General features: G+C 43.7%; 1 long non-coding RNA gene across 1 annotated transcript in view; it reads left to right on the top strand.

Annotated features, from left to right (window-relative positions):
- The window catches only part of LOC102724945 (uncharacterized), a 244,858-nt gene that overhangs the window by 164,147 nt on the left and 59,040 nt on the right, over positions 1–21,671 (top strand). The gene's annotated exons all lie outside the window — the stretch shown is intronic.

The following is a 21,671-nucleotide window of genomic DNA, read 5'->3' as shown; positions in this document are numbered from 1 at the left end:
GTCCCTGGAATTATATAGATGTGGGACATCATTGACCAGCTGAGGTAATGACTGTTCTTCCATCTTGCAGAAACAACAGGTCAAGGCTCTGAGTGGTTAAGTAAATAGCTAAGACCTTGAGCTAGAGCAGGGAGACTCAAACCCGTGCTGGTTTGTGGACAAGGGAAGAAATGGAGAGCAATTGTTTAGAAACGTTCATAGCAATATGATGGAATAGTTTTATGACATAATAACAAAAAAGTTGAGCTTGTATTTTATATGCCTGTTATTTTTAACTCTTTTCTAATAATTCATTTTTGTTTATTCTACAAAATTGAGGATTCATAGTAGATTGGAAATTTTAGAAAAAATCAGCGGGCCCTTTATCACAGATTTCTTGAGAAGCACTCAACTAATTTCATGGTCTCTGCAGGGCGGTTCTGGGTGCCTTCCTTCCAGTGAAGATCATGAGTACCTTCCTTCCAATGGAGATGATGGGTGAACTGTGGAGAGATGGAGACAGTGCCAGGGAGGAGGATGTCCCCTTCATCTCTGGTTCCTTTTCCTTTTCCTCCACATGCATCCCTGGAGAAGCACTCCACCAATAGCAAGCAGAGTTGAGACTAGAATAGAGGAGAATGCAGTTAGAGAAGGGCTTGGAAATGGCAAGGTTGGCAGGAAAAGCTTTGTGGTTATCACCTAGCATGCTGACTTAGGCAAATGCCCTGTACTCTGGACCTCAGGAGCAGGTGGAGGAAGCAGCTGAGAAATATCTCACTAGTTTGGAATGAAGCTGGAATTGTGAGTTCCACTATGTTTAAGACGCTCGTATAACCTAAGAGGAGGGAAAAAAAGGCTGCCTGTCATCACCCTGTAGTGTGAGGCTAGACATCGACATATTCCGACGGAGTCACTGATCAGAGGAACTTCCCTTTAAAAACATGGAGGGATCAGCACACTGCACAGGTACATTGTAGTGAAAAGAGATGGGATCAGAAAAGGGCTGAGCCTAAGATGGCCTCATTATCTGTCTTAAAATGGGGAGATCCAAGCAGCTGAAAGGCATCAGGAAGATGTCACCATCTCATTTCACAGCTGTCTCTGCTGGTCCCTGTTTGCTTTTGTTTCAGTAAATCGTAGTGTGAAGTAATGTTCATGTTCCCAGGGGACATGGAACAGCCTACTGCCCTGCTTGCCTTTGAAGCAGTTAGCTGACAACACCTTCACTATCACATCTTCTGGAGAGGTGGCAGAAAGAGATGATGCCTTCCTTTTGTTGACTTTCATACATGATTATATGTCTGGACACTCTTACTGACATCAATGTGCTTGTTGACTGGGAGGACAGGATCAGGTTGAGTGGGTTCAGGCTTTTTACTATGAGAAAAGCTTTTGCTCTTTACTTCGGGAAATGAAGGAAACACCCAGCCCTCTTGCTTGTTTGTTAAATTAAAGGGTGACTTCTGCATCGTAAACTGCCCTGGAATATATCTTGGTTTTGACTTGGGTAATGATGCACACATGCCTCAGTGTGCCTGCCCTGTGGCCTTATTATTATTTAGTCTGACATGTTGGGATTTGGGAGAGGGTTGAGATTAGAGCTTAGGGCTTATGTTGGTTAGCACCATCATGGGAGGAAGGGCCTGCAGCATGGTGAGCTACAGTCAAAGAGAAGCAGAATTGGAAACTCAGCTACCTTTCCCTCTTGTGCTAAACCCAAGTTTGTGACAATGCAGTCAGAATTAGTTACTTTCGGGGAGGATTTGCAATATCTGGACCCAACTGCAGTAGCAGTAAAGAGATTGACAAAGGAGGGCAAGCATAACATGTAAACTATTCCCAATGAATGGTTTAGAAACTCGTAAAGCCAAACTGGCACTTTCTAGGGATGAAGTGACGGACCTACCGCGACTAGGGAGACCAGGCTGTGGTTCTAGGTGTTTAGCTCTCCCAGTTTGTCTGTCCTGAAATAGCCAGAAACAAAATTCAACCCAGTGTCACTGCTCCCCAAAATTTACAATCTTATTGGCTAATAAGACTGGCCCAGCATGAAACAATGGTAATAAGTGCAGATTGTGGCCAAGATGACAGGTAATAGAGTTGTGTCAAAATACAGGGGCTGACGTGGGTCAGAGGAGACAGGGAAGGCTCCTGGGAAAGTTGGACTTGAATTGGCACTGAGTCCTTCCCTCGTTTGGATTCAGATGGGGTTTGAGTCCTAGATTCACCAGGACTTACTTTGAGCAGGTATATAAGATCTCTGAACATCAGCATTCTCATCTACAAGATGGGGAAAATAGTAACAATGTCCTAGGCTTTTTGCGAGCATTAAATGACATAAAGTACCTAGCGATTAAGTGGTCAGTAATGTTAGATCATCCATTACTTCCATGGCTACAAAGAATTCCCTCTTTCTGGGACTGGCTCACGAATCTGGCCACAACATTCAAATTTGTAAGGCTGCTATTTCTGCCTGGGGTGAGGTGCCTGGGTGGTGGTGGGAGTGGGGAGTGGTATAAACAAACCATGAGCTGCTTTTCCTAACTATGTACCCAGTTCCCCTAACTGAATTACAAGTGTCTCTTTTTTTTTTTGGAGACAGAGTCTCACTCTGTCACCCAGGCTGGAGTGCAATGGCGTGATCTTGGTTTACTACAACATCTGCCTCCCAGGTTCAAGTGATTCTCCTGCCTCAAGCCTCCCAAGTAGCTGGGATTACAGGTGCCCGCCACCACACCCGACTAATTTTAGTATCACAAGTGTCTCTTAAACTAGAAAATCTAAGGCATAGCTTGCATTGAGAGGGATATTTTGTCCAAGTACTCACTTGGCTGAAAAGACCAGTTTTCATCACAAAGCTGATATCACATTTTTGAGCTGCTTGGCTTCCCTTCCTAGCCTCTCCTAATTTGTAAACATTTCTCAATTTTACTATACACAAAATAGGAAGTTATGAAATCCCAGCTCTGAGCTTGAGTGCTGTTCATTCTGGAAAAGCAGGCCTAGGAATCGGTTGATTTTAAACTAATTTTAATCAGTAAGAACTTGGTCATGAACCGAGAAGAAATATAGCATAATGGTTAGGAGCAGGGACTCTGGGTTCAGACCACCTGGACTTGCTTCCTGGCTCTGTCACCTTGCTATCTGCATGACTTTGGGTAAGGTATTTACTCTCTGTGCCTTAGTTTACTCATCTGTTAAATGGGAAAATAATGGTACACATCTCATAGTGTGGTTGTGATGAGTAAATTAGTCAACATATATGTGAAGTGCTTAGAGCAGTAAGTGGCTGATGTAAGTCCTAAATATGTGTTAGCCATCATTAATATCATTATGTCCTGGTGAAAAGGGGAGAGGGAAGGTTTAAGGCCCTGATGGATGCGGTCCCCCTAAACAAGAGGGCACTAAGAGAGCCAGCACCAGCTGGGCCTGGCAACAGTGGGAGGCAGGGAAAAGAATACTCTTAGGAAGGTATGGCCCAACTGCCAGATCCTAGTGAGAGAGCCCAGGTTGAATCAATGACAGGAATCTGCCAGCAGAGAACCCCTTTAGAATTTGACTGTCTCCATTCCAGAATTCTGGGCTTCCTGGGACATAGCCTCTCTGCCAGCCTGCCCAAAACCTTTTTCAGTAAGGATGACACACTTAGACAGGGCTGACTCAGTAACAGGCCCTTTGTTCTGTCTCCTGGACCTCTGGGTGCCACTGTCTGTACATGTCCAGCTTGGCAGGCAGCTGGCATCCTAAGGATTCAGGTCGTTATCAGCTGGACACTGACTAAACAGAGCCCCTCCCAGCCAAGTGATGTGTGAGGCAGTGCACGTAGGCCTGCATACCTCATATCTCTGCCCGGGCAATTACAACCCAACCACCCTGCCCCATTCCAAGGCAGCTGGAGCCAGCTAGGGCACAGCGTTTGGGGCAGAAGCCAGGTATTTTTCCTCCTTTTATCCTTTTTGATTCCGTAGGCATTTTCTTCTAAGCTCAGGATCTAACTGCAATGTCCCACATGGGAAAACAAACCTGAGAGGCAGGAACTAGGCCGTGTCTGCTCATGATGCTGCCTTTTACTGCTCTGAAATGGAGCCAAAAAAAGGCGCAGCCTCTGTCCTCCAGGACAGAAAAGCTAGAAGCAGTGTGTCCTTTCCCTAGCCGCTGTTTGCCTTTTGAGCATGTTGCATATACCCGCACATTAGTGGTGCACTGTCTAGTCTGGTGTTCAGATCTATATTTAAATACTACTGTGGGATTCAGAGTCCAAGTGTGTAAAGTGCAAGCCTGGGCTTGGCCAGGCATCAAGGTTTGCGGCCTACCCAGTGGGTCCTTAAAGCTGGCCTCTTGCATCAGAAGTGATCCCATGCACTTCTGATGACAGTTTGTGACAACTCCCTCTGGTTTGGGAAGTCTCCCTGTGCATGTTCTCTTATCTCAGCCGAGAGGACCACGTGTGAATATTAACAATTGGTACCATTTATTGGACGCTTGCTCTGCACCAGACAGTATGCTGAAGGTACTTTCTATAACAATTTCCTGTACCCATCTCCCATCCCCAGTGCTTCAATGGAGGTAGTGGATCAATTCTGCTTTACAGATGAGGACACTGAGATGCAGTGACATTAGGTAACTTAAGGTCACCCAAGTAGGAAGTGGTAAGGTCAATATATATATATTTTTTGAGACAGAATCTCACTGTGTCTCCCAGGCTGGAGTGCAGTGGGGGGTGCTCTGGGCTCACTGCAACCTCCACCTTCCAGATTTAAGCGATTCTCCTGCCTCAGTAGGAATAGCTGGGATTACAGGCGTGGGCCACCATGCCTAGCTGATTTTTGTATTTTTATTAGAGACGGGGTTCACTATGTTGGTCAGGCTGGTCTCGAACTCCTGGCCTCAGGTGATCTGCCTGACTTGGCCTCCCAAAGTTCTGGGATTACAGGCATGAGCCACCGCACCCGGATGGACCAGTACTTGGACAGTTTGATCCAGAGCATGTTCTGCAGCATCTCTCTGCTTGTGTCTCTCCAACAATTAAACCAATGCCTGGGAATTATCATCCTCATTGTGATGATTTTTATCAGCCAGCAGGGGCCAGAAGCTTCTATGTGGTGGACGCATTTGGCTAATTTGCTGTGCCGTTGGTGATAGGGAGAATAACACACACAAAAAAATTGAGTTATTTCCTTACTGATTTCTATTAGTTTGATTCAACAAATATTTAGTGAGCATTTGCATTGTGCAAGGCAGAACTAGCAAAGAGGGCTGCTACAAGGTAATTGCTTTCAAAGAGCTGGCACTCTAGAAAGAGAAATTGTCTTTCCAAATTCCCAAGATGGCCCACAAGGCCATCCTCTTCAGTCTCTTAAGGGCCGTCCTCTTCAGTCACATTGCTCTGCATTCCCCTCCTTTGTCTGAAGCCTCCTCCAAGTCCTTTTGTTTGGGGAGCTCCCTACTAGCCCAGGGCCTTGCACCTTCTGTTCATCAGCCTGAAATACTTCACACCTCTGCCTGGTTAACTCCTCATCCTTCAGGGGATTCTCTCCCACTCCCATAGAATAGGTCAGGTTCTCCCCTCTCATCTCATCACAGGTCCCTCTACTTTTAATTTTTGCAATTATTTGATTAATCTGTTACTGATGAGGGCACAGATGCTTTTGTTGTTCACCCCTGTATTCCCAGCACATAATAGGTGTTTGCTAAATATTCTTAAGGGAATGAAGATTACAGATTATTTATTCAAGCAAAAACTGGGGCATGTTAGTCCCCAGTCCCCCAAGAAGCAGACATCAAGACAAGATCAAACATGGCAGGATTTTAGTAGTGTGAAAGTCTACGAGAAAGTGGCAAGGGAGCTAAAGGAAGGTAAAACAGTCGTCACACTGTAAGTCTGATCCTAGAGTGAAGAAAGGAAGGCTGAGTGGAGTGTTGTGTTTTTTTTTTTTTTCCTTGAGACGAAGTCTCACTCATTGCCCAGGCTGCAGTTGAGTGGAGTGATCTCAGTTCATTGCAACCTCTGCCTTCCAGGTGCAAATGATTCTCCTGCCTCAGCCTCCTGAGTAGCTGGGACTACAGCCACACACCACCATACCTGGCTAATTTTTGTATTTTTAGTAGAGATGGGGTTTTGCCATGTTGGCTAGGCTGGTCTCGAACTCCTGAGCTCAGTTGATCTGCCCGCCTCAGCCTCCCAAAGTGCTGGGATTACAGGCATGAGCCACCGCACCCAGCCTGGGTGGAGTGCTTTATACCTTCCTCTGCAGTCTGAGGAAAGTTTGGCAAGGCCGTGGAGGACTTTAGGCCAGACAAAGTCAACTGAAGGTTGGGAGCCCATAGGAGGTGGGACCTGGCCCTGGGCTTCCGGAGCTCAGCACCTGAGGCGCTCTGTTAATTACGCACTCCTTGTGGATGGAAGGCTGGGGGCTCATTCTCCTGGCTGCCACGTGGGGGTTCTGAGAGGCGAGAGGAGGTGGCTTCTGGTGTATAGAAGGAGAAAAATTACCAAAGACATGTCTTCCGTAAAAAGGTAGGACATCTTACTTTTGAGGCTCAGTAAGTATCTGTCGAACATGTAGCATTCTTTGACACTGTGGAAGACACTATAGGTTTGAGTACACATGGGCTCACTTCAAAAAACTTATGAGCTAATTAAGAGACAAAGTAAACTCACATACATGCTCCTGAATCTCAGTTTTCTCGTTTCTGAAAAGGAGATAACACCACTTACCTCGTGTGACATGTGACAGATCCAGTAACTTCTGTGAATAGGGTAGGTGCTCAACAAGTAAGATTTGAATATGAGTTTAAAAAAATAATAATGCATTGGCCTCTCCACCTTTTCAGTTTTTCTAGTCATTTCAACAGGGTCGACACCTTTTAAAGTAACTTTTGGGTTAGGAAGTGTGTTTTCCTTGTAATTAATCAGTAGTCCTCTGAGGCTTTTTGAAAAAAGATCATTTCAAGTAGAAGAACCACAGTTTAAATAGGTGATCAGCACTAAGGGAAGATTTAGTATCAAGTTGCCACATTTAAGGGACTCTTTGGAGCAAAGCTTAGTAGTGTGTGCTTGGCACAGCCAACTTCCGGGGGGTTGGTTTCTGAACCCTCAGCTCTGGGGGAGTGTTCAGGTTGTCCTCTGTGCTGGCACAGTCATTGGGACATTGCTTGGTTGCCATCCTTCCCATAGATGAAGGTGGTGGATCCCTGAGGGAATTGCAGATTTAATGTGGGGTGGGCCTCCTCCCTTTTCTCAATGCCAAAAAGGGGGTGTGGTTCTGCCCCTGTCCTTCCCACCTCCCCACACACCCCTGTTATTATATATTATGCTTTGGATACACTTGCCCCTGAAGTTAATCTTATCCTGATCTCACCTGTCTCATTGGGCTGTCTTTTTCTAGGAATTGGTTTTCATTCAACAACTATTTCCCAAGCAATTAACTAGTAGATGTAGGTATTGTGCCTCCTCCCTCAGTCCAGGGGGAGGACTGGCTAGAGCATAAAATGTATATGTGAGATGTAAATAGCTCTAAAGAATAAAGCCTATTAAAATATGTATTATGTATTACAAAGTATCACGGGAACGAAGAGGAAACAGGTTTTCCAGGGTAAGGAGGCAGCATTTGATCTAGGACTAATGTTAATAGTCAGAAAAAGGGATGAGGAAGTAGCTTTAGCAAGGGTAGGGTGTGTTTGCCATTTTATACCTTAGACAAGTAATTTGTAAGGGCTGGAAGACAGGGAAGGACCCAAGGACAGATGATAATAGCAAAATGGGGTTGCAGGTAAACCATAGCTGCCCTTGAAAGACTTGTTTAGGAGCATTATAGGTCAAGAAGAGCCACTGATGTTTGACAAGCAGGAGGCAATGTTTGAGCTATTTAGGAAACAGTGTCTGGGTGAGACAGAGTGACTGGTGCCAGAATGGTGCAGTCATTTAGGCGGGAGAGAGAATTGTTTCCGTAGAAATGAAAATAAGAGGCAGATATGAGAGAGTGGGTATCGGAGTGGAGAAGGTGGCTTTGAAGGTGACACAAGGCTTCAAGCCCCTGTGTGGACAGGGAGGGATACCACGGAGAGGGGGAGCCCCAGAAGAGGGGCTGCTAGGCTGGGAATGGTGATCCCTATGTAGATCACATTGCATTTGAGGGGCTGGCAGGATGTACATCTGCACCTGACCAATAGGCACTGGAAATTCAGATCTGGAGCTCAAGTATGTGGTAAGGCTAAAGATAGAGATTTGGGAGTGGTCATCCCATGGATACTAGATGAAATGGCAAGTTGTTTAGTTTCCTTAACCACCTAAAGAAAGGCTTGGTTTCTGGTTGCATGGGTGACAGCAGGTGGATGAGTGTTTTCTGGTGCCTAAATGACCAGTCCTGATTCTGCCAACACAGTCCTTGGATCTTTGAGATTCCAAAAAAGGGACACATTGGTTCTGTCCTCTTTCACTTAGCCCAGCTTTGTCTCTTCTCCCTCAGTTGTCCAGCTTCTAATTCTGCAAACAACAGCTGGAAAACATGAGGGCTGACTCAACAGCTGTGTGTTGGGAATCAAAAGGCATCCAGGATGAAGATACCATCTGGCTATAGCTGCTGCCAAAATGAGTGTGTGTGTGTGTGTGTGTGGGTGTGTGGGTGTGTGTGTGTGCATATGTGAGTATGACATAGGACGGAGTGGCTGAAAATTTATTGCAAACTGTTTTTAAACATGGTAAATTAAATATTCTTTAAAAATAGTTGAATGCTGGCCGGGCACAGTGGCTCACGCCTGTAATCCCAGCACTTTGTGAGGCTGAGGTGGGCAGATCACAAGGACAGGAGATTGAGACCATCCTGGCCAACATGGTGAAACCCTGTCTCTACTAAAAATACACAAATTAGGTGGGTGTGGTGGTGCATGCCTGTAATCCCAGCTACTCGGGAAGCGGAGGCAGGAGAAGCAGTTGAACCTGGGAGGCGGAGATTGCAGTGAGCAGAGATTGCGCCACTGCACTCCAGCCTGGGCGACAGAGCGAGACGCTGTCTCAAAAAAAAAAAAAAAAAGTTTGAATGCTGTCTCAAAGATTATTTCATTTTATATTTCATTCAAAATCTTGGTGATTAGAAAATCGGAAATCTAGCATGCAAGTTCTGATTGCAGGTGACCACCCTTTGTACACTCACTATAGCCTGACCCTGCACTGGCAGTGGAGTATGCTCAGAGACTCAACTTGGCTAGAGGCTGCCTCCTTTTTTCAAGGAGAGGCACAAGGATCTAAGAATATATGAAAAGATTAAAAGTTCAAGAAAAGGCTTTTGTCCCCAATCCCAGTTAAAGAGAGGCCTCTTCCTGGAAAGTGATTAGGGATCTGTGTGGGTGGTTTTGTTCCCCGCCAAACAAGTCTCGAGCTAGGTAATCTGTTTCTAATCATAATTTGGATTACCCGTCAAACTAACCAAATGTTTGTTTGTCTAAGGAGGCCAATCCTCAGGCAAAGAGAAGCTTGACAAACCTCCACCAAGGAACTGGGAAAGTACTTCCCCCACCTCCCCAACCCCACCTCCCAGTGGGATCATTCCAAGGTCAGCAGGCTACAACCGCTGCCTCCTTGTGCTGGAAAGCGCAGAAAGTAACTGCTGTCTTTGCACAGCATTCTGGCTTCTTCAGTTTGGGGCTGTCCCTTCTCGAACCAAACAAATTGCCATCCCCTTCCCAGCCCCTCCTCACCCCCTGGAACATTTGGCAGTGTTTGCGGACTTTCGGTTGTCACCATTGGGGTAACAAGAGTGTGTTATCAGCATCTAGAAGGTAGAAGCCAGGGGAGCTGCTAAACATCCTACAAGGCACAGGGCAGCCTCCATAACAAAGAATTAGCCAGGCCCAAATGTCGATTGTACCCATAGTAGAGACAGCTTTAACTAAAACCTGCCCTCACTGGTGTTTGTTCCTAAACAGAGAGTAAGTAAGCCTTCCAGTAGGCAGATGTTGGTAAACCAGCAATCTGGGGGTGGCGATGTTGGGGGGTGGGGGGTTGGGGAGGAAGCCCCTAATTTGTAGCCTTAGCCAATTTCCCTGATTAAACACTCTCACCATGTTTGATATCAATATCATGTTCTTAACATGGAGTTGGAAAGAGTTGCATTGAATAGGCTCTCGCTAGCTACTACACACCAGCTCCAGATATTCACCTGGGCCCACGGATTCTCAAATCTTAGTAAGAACAAACAAAGCCAGCACGCTCCCATAAATGAATGTGGGTGTCCGTGTCATGCTGAGCCATACTGGAACCTCAGACAAAAGGAAAAATCAGTGATATTGAGCCTGTCTTCATTGAACATTTTGATAGTTTGTTCATCATGGATTTGTTTACATTAATGTAAAATAATGCATTAAATATTTGTTTTATTTTTATTTCTCCTCTTTTTTGTCCCTTCCTCTATTTTTTTTTTTTTTTTTAAACAGGGTCCTACCCTGTTGCCCAGGCTGGAGCATAGTGGCACAATTCTACCTTGTTGCATTCTAATTACTGGGCTCAAGCGATTCTCCTGCCTCAGCCTCCTGAGTAGCTAGGACTATAGGTGCATACCATCATGCCTGGCTAATTTTTTATTTTTTGTAGAGATGAGGTCTTGCTATGTTGCCCAGGCTGGTCTTGAACTTTGGCCTCAAGTGATCTTCCCACCTCAGCCTCTCCTCCTCCTTCTCATTCTCTTTCTTTTTCTCCATCTCCTTTTCTTTCTTTTCTTTCCTTCCTTGCCTCCTTGTTTTCTCCTCTTGCCTTCCTTCCTTTATAGTGGAATGGTTAAGCCACCAGACGAAAGGTTTCCATTCAGGCCAGTGCCCACCACTACAAAGCAAAGCATGGAAGTATGGAATTCATTAGAGTGATTTTCACGCTTCCCGAAGAGAGTTATTGAGGATAGTTGAAATCTCTGCCAATGTCATTTTAAAGGCAGAATGGGAGAGGAGTGGTAACAAATGTTCTGTAGGGTCACAGTCGCTCAATTATCCTTCCATCAAATTAAAACTTTAACTTAAAATTTCAGGGTTTGTCATTAACTGGCTGTGTGTGCAATTCTGGAAGCTCCATTCATAGACTGTGATGTGAATGATGCCCCAGAGTTGTGAGGCAGGTGATCTGGCTTCTTGAAGTCTCTTCAAACTCTACAAATCAAAGCAAACGAAGGAGGATGCCAATCCTGATTTCTTTCTGAGGCAAACCCTGAATGACAGCTGCTTTTCTTTTAAGGAATCCTCACCAGACCTGGAAGGCAACTATGAGAAGCATGTTGTGGCTGTAGCACCCACCGGGCCAAGCATTCAGGACAGATGGCCCGACAAATGCTGTTGCACAAGTGTCCTTCATTAGATCGGCCTGTTATGTTCCTTCATGCTGTCCTGTACTCTCAGAAAGCATGTATCATGACTCTGTAATGATGCAGCTATTTGTCTGATTGTTTATCATTTGTCTGCCCTCAAGAGTATAACTCCCAGAGGACAGGAGCCATGTTTATTTTGTTCATTACTGTGTCTCCCGCGTGAGCCTGTACACACTAGGTGCTCAATAATGGTTACTAAGATGGATGAATGAAAGAAAAACAGTGAGACATAATGCATGTCCAAATGAGTGGAGATACACCCAGAAGGCCAAAAGCCTTCTTTTGGCTTCTTAAAACTGAGCCAATGAATAACCCTACAATCGCCTCTAAGTGTACAAGTGAAGGGAAGAGTCACGTGTCTCTCACTTTAAATTAAAAGTTAGAGATGACAGTGCTTAGTGAGGGAGGCATGTCAAAAGCTAAGATAGGCTGAAAGCTAGGTCTCTTGCACCAAACAGTTAGTTAACTTGTGATTGCAAAAGAAAAATTCTGGAAAGAAATTAAAAGTACTACTCCAGTGAACACATAAATTATAAGAAAGTAAAACAGACTTGTTGCTGATATGGAGAAAGTTTGAATGGTCTGGATGAAAGAACAAACCAGTCACAACATTCCCTTAAGCTAAAGCCTAATTGAGAGCAAGGTCCTATTTCTCCCTTCCCTCCCCTCCCCTCTCCTCCCTTCCGCTCCCCTCCCCTTCCCTCCCCCTCCCCTTCTTCCCCCTCCCCTTCTTCCCCCTCCCTTCTTCCCCCTCCCCCTCCCCTTCTTCCCCCCTCCCTTCTTCCTCCTCTCCTCCCTTTCTTCCCCCCTCCCCTTCTTCCCCCTCCCCTCCCCTTCCCCTCCCCCTTCCCTCCCCCTCCCCTTCTTCCTCCCTCCCCCTCTCCCTCCCCTCCCCATCCCCTCTTCCCCTTCCCCCTTCCCTCCCCCTCCCCTTCTTCCCCCTTCCCCTCCCCTCTCCCTCCTCCTCCCCTCTCCTCCCCCTCCTCCTCCCCTCTCCTCCCCCTCCTCCTCTCTCCTCCCCCTCCTCTTCCTCCTCTCCTCCCCCTCCCTTCCCCTTCCTCCTCCCCCTCCCCTCCCCCTTCCCCTCCTTTTCTTTTCTTTTCTTTTTTCTTTTCTTTCTTTTTTTTCAAGACAGGGTCTTGCTTTTTCACCCAGGCCGGAGTGCAGTGGCTTGATCTTACCCCACTGCAACCTCCACTTCCCCAGCTCAGGCTCAGGTGATCCTCCCATCTCAACCTCTCAAGTAGCAGGGACTACAGGCATGTGCCACCACACCCGGCTAATTTTTGTATTTTTTGTGGAGACAGAGTTTCACCACATTGCCCAGGCTGGTCTTGAACTGGGCTCAAGCAACCCACCCACCTTGGCCTCCCAAAGTGCTGGGATTACAGGTGGGAGCCACCATGCCCAACTGAAAGTGATTTCTTGATATGGCATGTGCTCCTTATTAAGGTGCTAGAAACATTGTTAAAATGACCACAAAGGTTTTAGAGTATTCCGTAAGCTTAGCTGATAAAGCAGCAGCAGGGTTTGAGAGGATTAACTCTAATTTTGAAAGAAATTCTGCTGTCGGTAAAATGTTATCAAACAGCATTGCATGCTATAGAAAAATCTCTCATGAAAGGAAGAGTCCATTGTTGTTGCAACTTCATTGTTGTCTTATTTTAAGAAATTGCCACAATCACCCCAACCTTTGGCAACCACCAGCCTGATTGGTCAGCACCTATCAACATCGAGGCAAGACCCTCCACCAGCAAAAAGATTATGGCTTGCTGAAGGCTCAGATGATTGTTAACATTTTTTAGCAATAAAGTGTTTTTTAGTTAAAGTATATACATTTTTTTTTTAGGCATAATGCTATTGCATTCTTTTTTTTTTTTTGAGATGGAGTCTTGTTCTGTTGCCCAGGCTGGAGTGCAGTGGAATGATCTCTGCTCACTGCAACCTACGTCTCCTGAGTTCAAGTGCTTCTTCCGCCTCAGCCTCCTAAGTAGGTGGGATCACAGGTGCCCAGCACCATGCCACCATGCCCAGCTAATTTTTGTATTTTTAGTAGAGACGGGGTTTCACCATGTTGGCCAGACACTATTGCATTCTTAATAGACTACAGTATAGTATAAACATAAATTATATATATATTGGGAAACCAAAATATTTGTGTGACTTACTTTATTGTGATAGTCACTTTATTGCAATGGCTGGAATTGAACAGTATCTCTAAGGTATGCCTGTATAGGTGATGGTTCTTGAGATGTGAAGTGCCTGGATGATGGGTGATGTGAAGTCATGGGCCTCAAGGGGTTCATGACCCTTACAGTCTGCCTTGGAATGAAACACAGCTTCTTCCCTTAGGGACCAACTTGAAATGGCCTGAGATTGCCCCTGTGGCCAGGCTGGGCCATTAGGGCTAGATGTTGGAACTGGAGAAAGGACCCTGAGGAGGAGGCCACAGGGAAGAATATTCAGGGAACAGCAGCTCCCAGGTTTCTCCATGGTCTTGTTTTGATTCAGCACTCCAGGTAGGAGAGAAACCAAAGGGAGGTAGCACAAGGTAAGCAAAAGTTAGCTGAAGATGTAGATTGTCCATACTCATTAAGAAAATTTGCTGGCTGAGCATGGTGGCTCATGCCTGTAACCTAGCACTTTGGGAGGCTAAGGCAGGTGGATTACCTGAGGTTAGGAGTTCGAGACAAGCCTGGCCAACATGATGAAACCCCGTCTCTACTAAAAATACAAACATTAGCTGGGTATGGTGGCGGGCACCTGTAATCCCAGCTACTAGGGAGGCTGAGGCAGGAAAATCACTTGAACCCAGGAGGTGGAGGTTGAGCTGAGATTGCGCCATTGCATTCCAGCCTGGGTGATAAGAGTGAAACTCCATCTCAAAAAGAAAAAGAAAAAGAAAAAGAAAATTTCCTAGATTTTGTAGCTCACTCTAATGGGCCAAACATGTTTCATTAATTTTGAAAATAACCCACTTTGAAGAACCAATTTACCCAGTTCTGAAATGCATAGTTCTTTATGGGAGATGCTCAGCACTTCAGGACTACACAATGGAGTAGGAGATGAGAAAAGCCTGGTTTGTCTAAGAAGTCTCTACTAGTCAGGGTGTGGATGGCTTAGAGAAGAGGGGTTAATATGAGAAGACAGGCAACTTCACAAATGGAAGTAGATTCCCACTCATCCTATTAATGGTGTGCCAGAAAACTTTAGGTCCTTATTGACACTTACGGTGTACAGATGACCTGGGCCCCACCTCTGCTGTGAAGATAGGAGTGAAGAATTTCACGGCCTTGCCACCATTTAAAAAATTTTCTTTGTTTCTCTCTCCCCCTTCCTCTACTCTCTGCATGTGGGTGTACATGTGAGTGTGGGTGTGTGTGTTGGGGAGGTGGCTTAGGAATTATTTCAATGAATATGCTGGTAGTAGTTTGAGGAGTAAGTCATATAATTGTTGTGTTTCTACTTCTAGCTTTTAGGAGGAAAACATTCATAGGAGGAGATGATTAATTACTGTTTGAAGAGTGCTTTGAGATCCTCTAATGAAGGGTTTTAGAAGTATGAAACATGTGTCCTGAATGTGTGGTTACAACATGTGATTCTATGTTAGAATGGTGCTAGACTATCAAATAGACCCCTCTCCTATGTCCCTGAATAGGAAAGAACATGCTGACCGGGAAGGAGAGGGGAGGAGAAGAGAAGGGAGAAGGGCTGGAAGGAAAGGGGAGGTGTTGGAGAAAAGACTAGTGTCTTGTGTTAACCTGGAGGAAAGACAGCGTGGGCACCCCGGTGTCTGTGCACAAGTTGCACATCAGTTGCACATCTGAGAGTGAAACAAAGGTTTCCTTTGTTCCCCAACAGTTTGCTCCCTGTGAAGTTTGTTCCCTTCACCTTGCAATCGGAAGTCTGTTGACTTTCGGTGCGGTCTGTTGGTTCAAGCTTTGCCAAAGAGTTAATAACTACTGTATTGTTGTGGTGGAAGCTACCTTTAATTTTTCAACAGAACTGCGGAATTGTTTTCTCTTGTATTATTAATATTATTGGAATAATAATCATCAACCATTAAAATATTTATTATTCTCTGCATTTATGGAACTGCTCTTCTTAGAAAGTCCGCCTTTATTTTTCAACAAAGTCTTATTCTGAGAGGAGGTGCTTTCTCTAATATCTAAGGTCTAGCTGGAGAGCGGGCACCTCTTACACCAGCAGCAAGCAGTCACCTACCGCAGGAACTCACCGGGAGGCAGCAGCGTGTGCTAGTTAAACCTCAGACTCTGGATCCGGCTTGAATTCCTGATCTGCTGCTCCCAGTTACATGACTTTAGACAAGTTATTCACCTCCTCAGAATCACAACTTCCTCATCTGTGAAATAGGGTAGGAATAGTATCTACCTTTCTGTGTTATTGTGAGAATTAAAGGTGTAATTATATATAATGCTTACAATAGGATGTGATACATAAGAAGCCCCAGATAGGTGCTTGCTGCTGCTTCTGTCACCATTATTGCTATCCTCTAAGAAACTATAGGCTGATTTAAAGCAAATTATGATAATTATTTCTGTTATTATTATTAATAAAGCCTCCTAAAGAAACTAAGGTTGATTTAAAGCAAAATGCTGAAGAGGATAGAATTATTTTGGGGGCTCTCCTACTTCTGTTCTTAGTTTCTCTCTTTTTCTTTTAGTTTTTCCAAATTTTTGACAATGTACTCAAGGTTATAATGATGCGTTTGGGCACAGTGGCTCATGCCTGTAATCCTAGCACTTTGGGAGGCTGAGGCGGGAGGGTGGCTTGAGCCCAGGAGTTTGAGGCCAGCCTGGACAATATAGTGAGACTCCATCTCTCTAAAAAAAAAAAAGAAAAAAAAAATGTAGTGATGTGTTAAACATATCCCCTATGAGTGTGACTACTTAAGTCACATATACATACAGGGTTCGATTTATACTTTTAAAGGACACTGGAAGCTTGAATTTTTTTTTCTGGAAAAAAAAAAGAAATAGATCCTCTAGACTTCTAGAACTGTGCAACAGAATTTCAGGGAACATCTAGTTCAACTCCACAGTAGGCAAATGATTCATCCTTAGAGACAGGCATGACTGGTTAGTGGCAGAGTGGGCCTAGAATCTTGGGTTAAGTTAGACAACTAAGAGCTATGAACATGTGGCAGCTGGAGTGACTTCTTGTACACCTGTTTCCACTGAATTGCCCTGTGGCAATATGCCAGAAAAGAATCAGACTGTCTGCAAACTGATTATTTTATGCACTGAAGAGGGGTGTTGCTAAGGTTGCCATCCTGATCCTCTTTATGAACACCCTTGAGGAGCAGTATTGAAAATAGTTATTGTTTCTGGAACAACTGTTTTTTTCTTTAAATTTTTTCTGTTATTTTAGAAAAGTATTATTAATATTATTTTGATTACCAAATCATAGTTATATACATAACCGGTTTGTTTTCATTGGATGAACACCATGAACTTTTAATCTATTAATGTATCACATCTTTGCGTTGGCTACTAGGAAGCTCAAGGACAAATTTACATTCTATGTCTATGGTTAGAAGCTAATAGCTACCACAAATTGCAATTACATATTAGAGCTGAACACCTTGTAGCCAGTTTTCCTGAACTTTGATCTATTAAAAAAGGGAGTTTGGGGGCCCTTTCCATTGCATGCTTTACCTTTTTCATGGATATTCATGGTGTACACATTAATGTCTTAAAGGTTCTGAGAAGTCTGACAGTTTTAAATAAATCAAAAGAGCTTTAAAAATTTTGTTTAGCCTTGTAGTTGTAAAACTTACTTGATTACATAATCTTTAAAAATATTATCTCAGAAATTTCTAGTTTTATATGAAATGCATTTTGGAAAATACTACCTTTCATTAATCTGTAATCAAATCCTGTTTATTATTATTATTATTTTTTGAGATGGAGTTTTGGTCTTGTTGCCCAGGCTGGCGTGCAGCGGCATGATCTCTGCTCATTGCAACCTCTGCCTCCCAGGTTCAAGTGATTCCCCTGCCTCAGCCTCCTGAATAGCTGGGATTACAGGTGCCCGCCACCACGCCTGGCTAATTTTTTCTGTTTTTAGTAGAGACGGGGCTTCACCATGTTGACCAAGCTGGTCTCAAACTCCTGACCTCAGGTGATCTACCTGCCTCGGCCTCCCAAAGTGCTGGAATTACAGGCGTGAGCCACTGCGCCTGGCCAAATCCTGTTTATTAGATTCATGACAGTACAAAGGTTGGTGAACTTGTTTCTTTCTACTTCTGTGCCGCAGGAGAAAGTCTAGGCTGTGTACGTTGGACTAGATAACTGACGAGACCCTTGCTAGCTCTAAAATTTTTGATTCCCAATTTAAAAAATGAAGAAAACTTTTCAAGAATGTCTGTTCCTAGAAGTGGAAATACTAAAATGAATGCTAACGTTAGAACTTAAAACATTATATACCATTTCTGGCACTGTTTATCCATGTCTAATCTAAAAGATTGCTTTAAAAATTATGTTTACAGACACAACCACCAGGAGTGTTTACAAAGACACAAATTTTCTTTGAAAAGCATCGGAGTAAAAAGATGTAAGATTTTCTTGAAACTCTGGTTTGGTATAGAGTTTACAACCCCTCCTTCTTGCTTGATAAAGGCTTGTATAATGAGGTGATGAAACTTCATAGTGTATCTTTGGGAGGCTGTGCAGCTAGATATATTAATTCAAGCGTGTGGCCCATTCAGAGGCGACATTGTTCATTCATGGAGAATTTTGCCTGTAAAACCCATTCCTCTCCCTTCTCCATTAAAACTCAGCAAAAAACAACAAGGACCTCCAATACATATCTAATTATGTATGGGATAATAGGTACATACCCCAGCCATATATGTATTCCCTGGGCATGAGCCTGAGACTCGCCCCAGATAACACATCCAGCCTCTAGAGTTGTTCGTCGCCTTGACCAGTAGGGCCAGAGCCAAGGGGAAATAGCAAGGCAAGGTCACCTGCAAAGAGAAGTGGCAGGCTGCAGGGAGAAAGGACTGGCTTTCACACCTGTTCATGGGTGACATTCAACTTCTTCAGCAGCCTACTGGATGTGTCACCACAATCTCAAGTAGCTCTCATTGCTCTTCTCTTTGTGTATGCCCTTGTGAAGGGTGGGTGGGATTTTGTTGCTTCTCTGGGCCTCTTGTCTCGCTGATTTTGTTAGTATGTTGTTTTCTCCCTGTTTGACTTTTATTCATTTAATTCAGATTGAATGCCTACTATGTATCAGGCATTATGTCCCCAAAATGCATATGTTCCCATACTTGCCCTTGAGGAGCCAATGATATAGAAGAGCACATGGACCCTGGAAACAGTTTCCATTCAATGTGACAAAGACTCCAAAAGAGCCGTGTATAGAGACCAGGGAAGCAGTAATGGAGGTGACATTTGAGTCAGGTCTTAGAGAATGTGTTGGACACTGATTTTTCCATTAATATAATTACTTTTTCTACTTAGTAGCACTAACCTGCTAGAAAGAGAAGTAGAAGCCAATAACTCGTTAACTCAGGAGACTGACGGACAGAACCTATTAGCTAAAGGCTAGGCTCTTATTTCAAGCAATTCAGCAAATATTCAGGCCTTAATCATTTCAGTTATTGGAGGACAGTGCCATCTGGAAAGTGAACTCTCTGGAACTTACCCTCAAGTTTCCCTGATAGAAAGACGTTCTAGGAATTGTCTTTGTCTTTGGAAATTCCTAGAATTAGCTTTGCTTTATGTTCAATATAGCTAATTTCCCAGTCTCATGGCAGACACTCAGAAAATGAACAACATGTTTAAATTGTTGCAAAGATGAAAGCAACAAAGATGAAAACAAGGATTATTACTAAAGAACCGGTTTTAATTTAAATTTCTGAAGAAATTTTACAAAGTGCAGGAACACGTGAGGTAAGCTGGCTCCTTGAGTTTGCAGTTCCTTGGAGAGCTGATGCTGAAAGCTCATAGCCTTCCTAGTGCCAGGTGGGATTCTGTGGATTTTTTTCACGTTACTTTTATGAGACAAACCCATGGATGTCAACCATGTGACACAATATCCATGACTTTCCTGGCTGTACAAATAGTTCTCTAATTTGATGCTAATAATAGGACATCTTTTTTCCTTGGGAAATACTGTTTTTTAGGCTTAACACTTCAGGCACACCCCTCCCCCTGGGAAAAAAAAAAAAAAAACCCAGTTCAATTTAATAATGATTTTTGTCTGCCTATGTTTATTATATCTGGACCCTGATAGTACATTTATCTTCTGTCATGGAGTTGAGACAGTATCTATTCAGCTGGTTTTCCAGCCCCAAACTTAAGTAGGATCCTTTACCTGCAAAACATGGGGCTGGCCTTGCGTTTAAAAGCAGTACTCATGTTTCAGTTTCCAATTTGAAACTTAGGAACTGCTCTTTCCAGACTTGAAAGTTTTCCTCCTGACCAGCTATTATATACCGCCTCCTGGGACTTTAATACAGATCTGTCATTCCTTCTAGACCTCGAACTCCTTAAGAACAAGGACAATGTCTCACTTATCTTTGTATTCCATAGCTCATTACGTAAAGGAGGTCTTTAAGAATTATTTGCAAAATCTGTATTGCATTCTTATCCTAAAAGTTTGTAAACTGGACCATCAAATGTAGATTTCCCTGTGCAAGGAGTGAAAAACAGCAAGTACCATGTATGCAAGTCTCAGAACTTGACTTCTCATAATTATTTTTTAAAACGAAGGCAAACCAGGCTGGGCACGGTGGCTCACACCACGCCCAGCCTGGTTTGCACAGGCAAATAGGGTAAGTAGGTTGCTTAAAGTTGTCTAGAAATTAAGTGATGGTTCAGATTCAAGCCATTTGGCTCTAGATCCACATTCATAATCCCTTTGCCATCTATTCTTAGCTTACCTTGTTCAATTTTCTATCCTGAGTCCCTCTAATAAGTTCTCAGCTTCTGTTTTTTCTTTAAAATCGGCACTCATCTCTGATTTATCACCTCTCTTCTGTCCCCTCGCCCCTATTCTCTCCCTCCATTTTCCCTTCTTCTCTCCCTTCTAATTCCGTTCGTGATGAGAACCACATTGTGTACCTGAAATTTATATTTCAAGCAGCTTTCTATCAGCAACCAGGAGCTTCCTGTACACGTTGCAACTTTAGAGAACACAATGCAGATGAGAATTATAAATCTCTAAGTGCGCATGTTCTTCCTTTTATGATGGGTTAAAAGACAGTTTAAAAATCACCTCCCATTTTGAGCTTTGAATCTGAGCTGAGAAGGATAGTAAAAGCAATATAAAGAAAAGGAAATCAACTTCAAAACCGGCCCCCCGCTTTTCCCTGTGAGAAGGCCACTACAAATTGTGGAGATGCTTCTCAAATGCAATTAGATTCTGCCGCTGCCTGCCGCGTCTCTCCACATTGCATCACTGTTCTCGAAATCGCTGAAGCCTCTCTTGGGACACTAGATAATCTGAAGAAAGAATAGAGTGTTCAGGCAACACAAGTTCTACAGAGAACTAAGGCACACCGATTTGCATTTCTGGGTCAGCATGATTTCACTTTCATTTAACCCTTGTACTGACCCTTGTTTTCCAACGCGTTGGCTCTTTCTGCCGTCTGAGACTGTGTGATGTGCTGAAGCCAAGAAGGTAAGTGTCCCTGGCAACCCGAAGCCTGCAAACCTCTCTCCAAGCCCCTCTTCAAGCTTCCCACCATCATTAAGGTCCTTTCAGTGAGGAATTGGCCAACATTTTAAGTGTCTCTGGATGCAGGTTTTATTCACGTTTAATAAGGTAGTTTTGTGTGTTAATGGAAAATGAAATGAATATTAGAAATCACATATTCAGATATGCTTGTGGCTGCCAGAGTTTTGCATTTCCTGCGTGGTTGTTCATCTTTAATGTAATGAGAATAGTAACGGAGAACAACGGATGTTATATTCTCTTTCTCTCTCTCTCTCTGGTAGGAGTCATGCTGAGAATCCCTTGAAAACCCACAGTGTGTCAGAAAGACAGACATGACATATATTTCTCTCGTCTTATTCACAGTATAATTTCCATTAAAAGGGAGCAAAGACCCCCAACAAGACTTAATTGCTTGCAACTTAACAGGTGTAGGTCATTAGTTGTTTATGTGCAATGAGGTCTACTTGGCTAGAAGAACCTTGTGTAAAAGTAAAGGTGCATTGCAAAATTTAAAGTGCTGGATAAATGCTAGCTATGAACCCAATATTAAAATAATTGAGATGACATGTTGATTAATTATTTGCCCAAAAGAGGTTTACCTCAATCAGTAAGAATAATTTTATTGCTTTTTTTCTTAATTATAAAAGTAATAGC

The sequence above is a fragment of the Homo sapiens genome, chromosome 14 (assembly GCF_000001405.40).
Source record: "Homo sapiens chromosome 14, GRCh38.p14 Primary Assembly".
Taxonomy (NCBI): Eukaryota; Metazoa; Chordata; class Mammalia; order Primates; family Hominidae; genus Homo; species Homo sapiens.
This window is presented reverse-complemented; position numbering and strand designations above follow the sequence as displayed.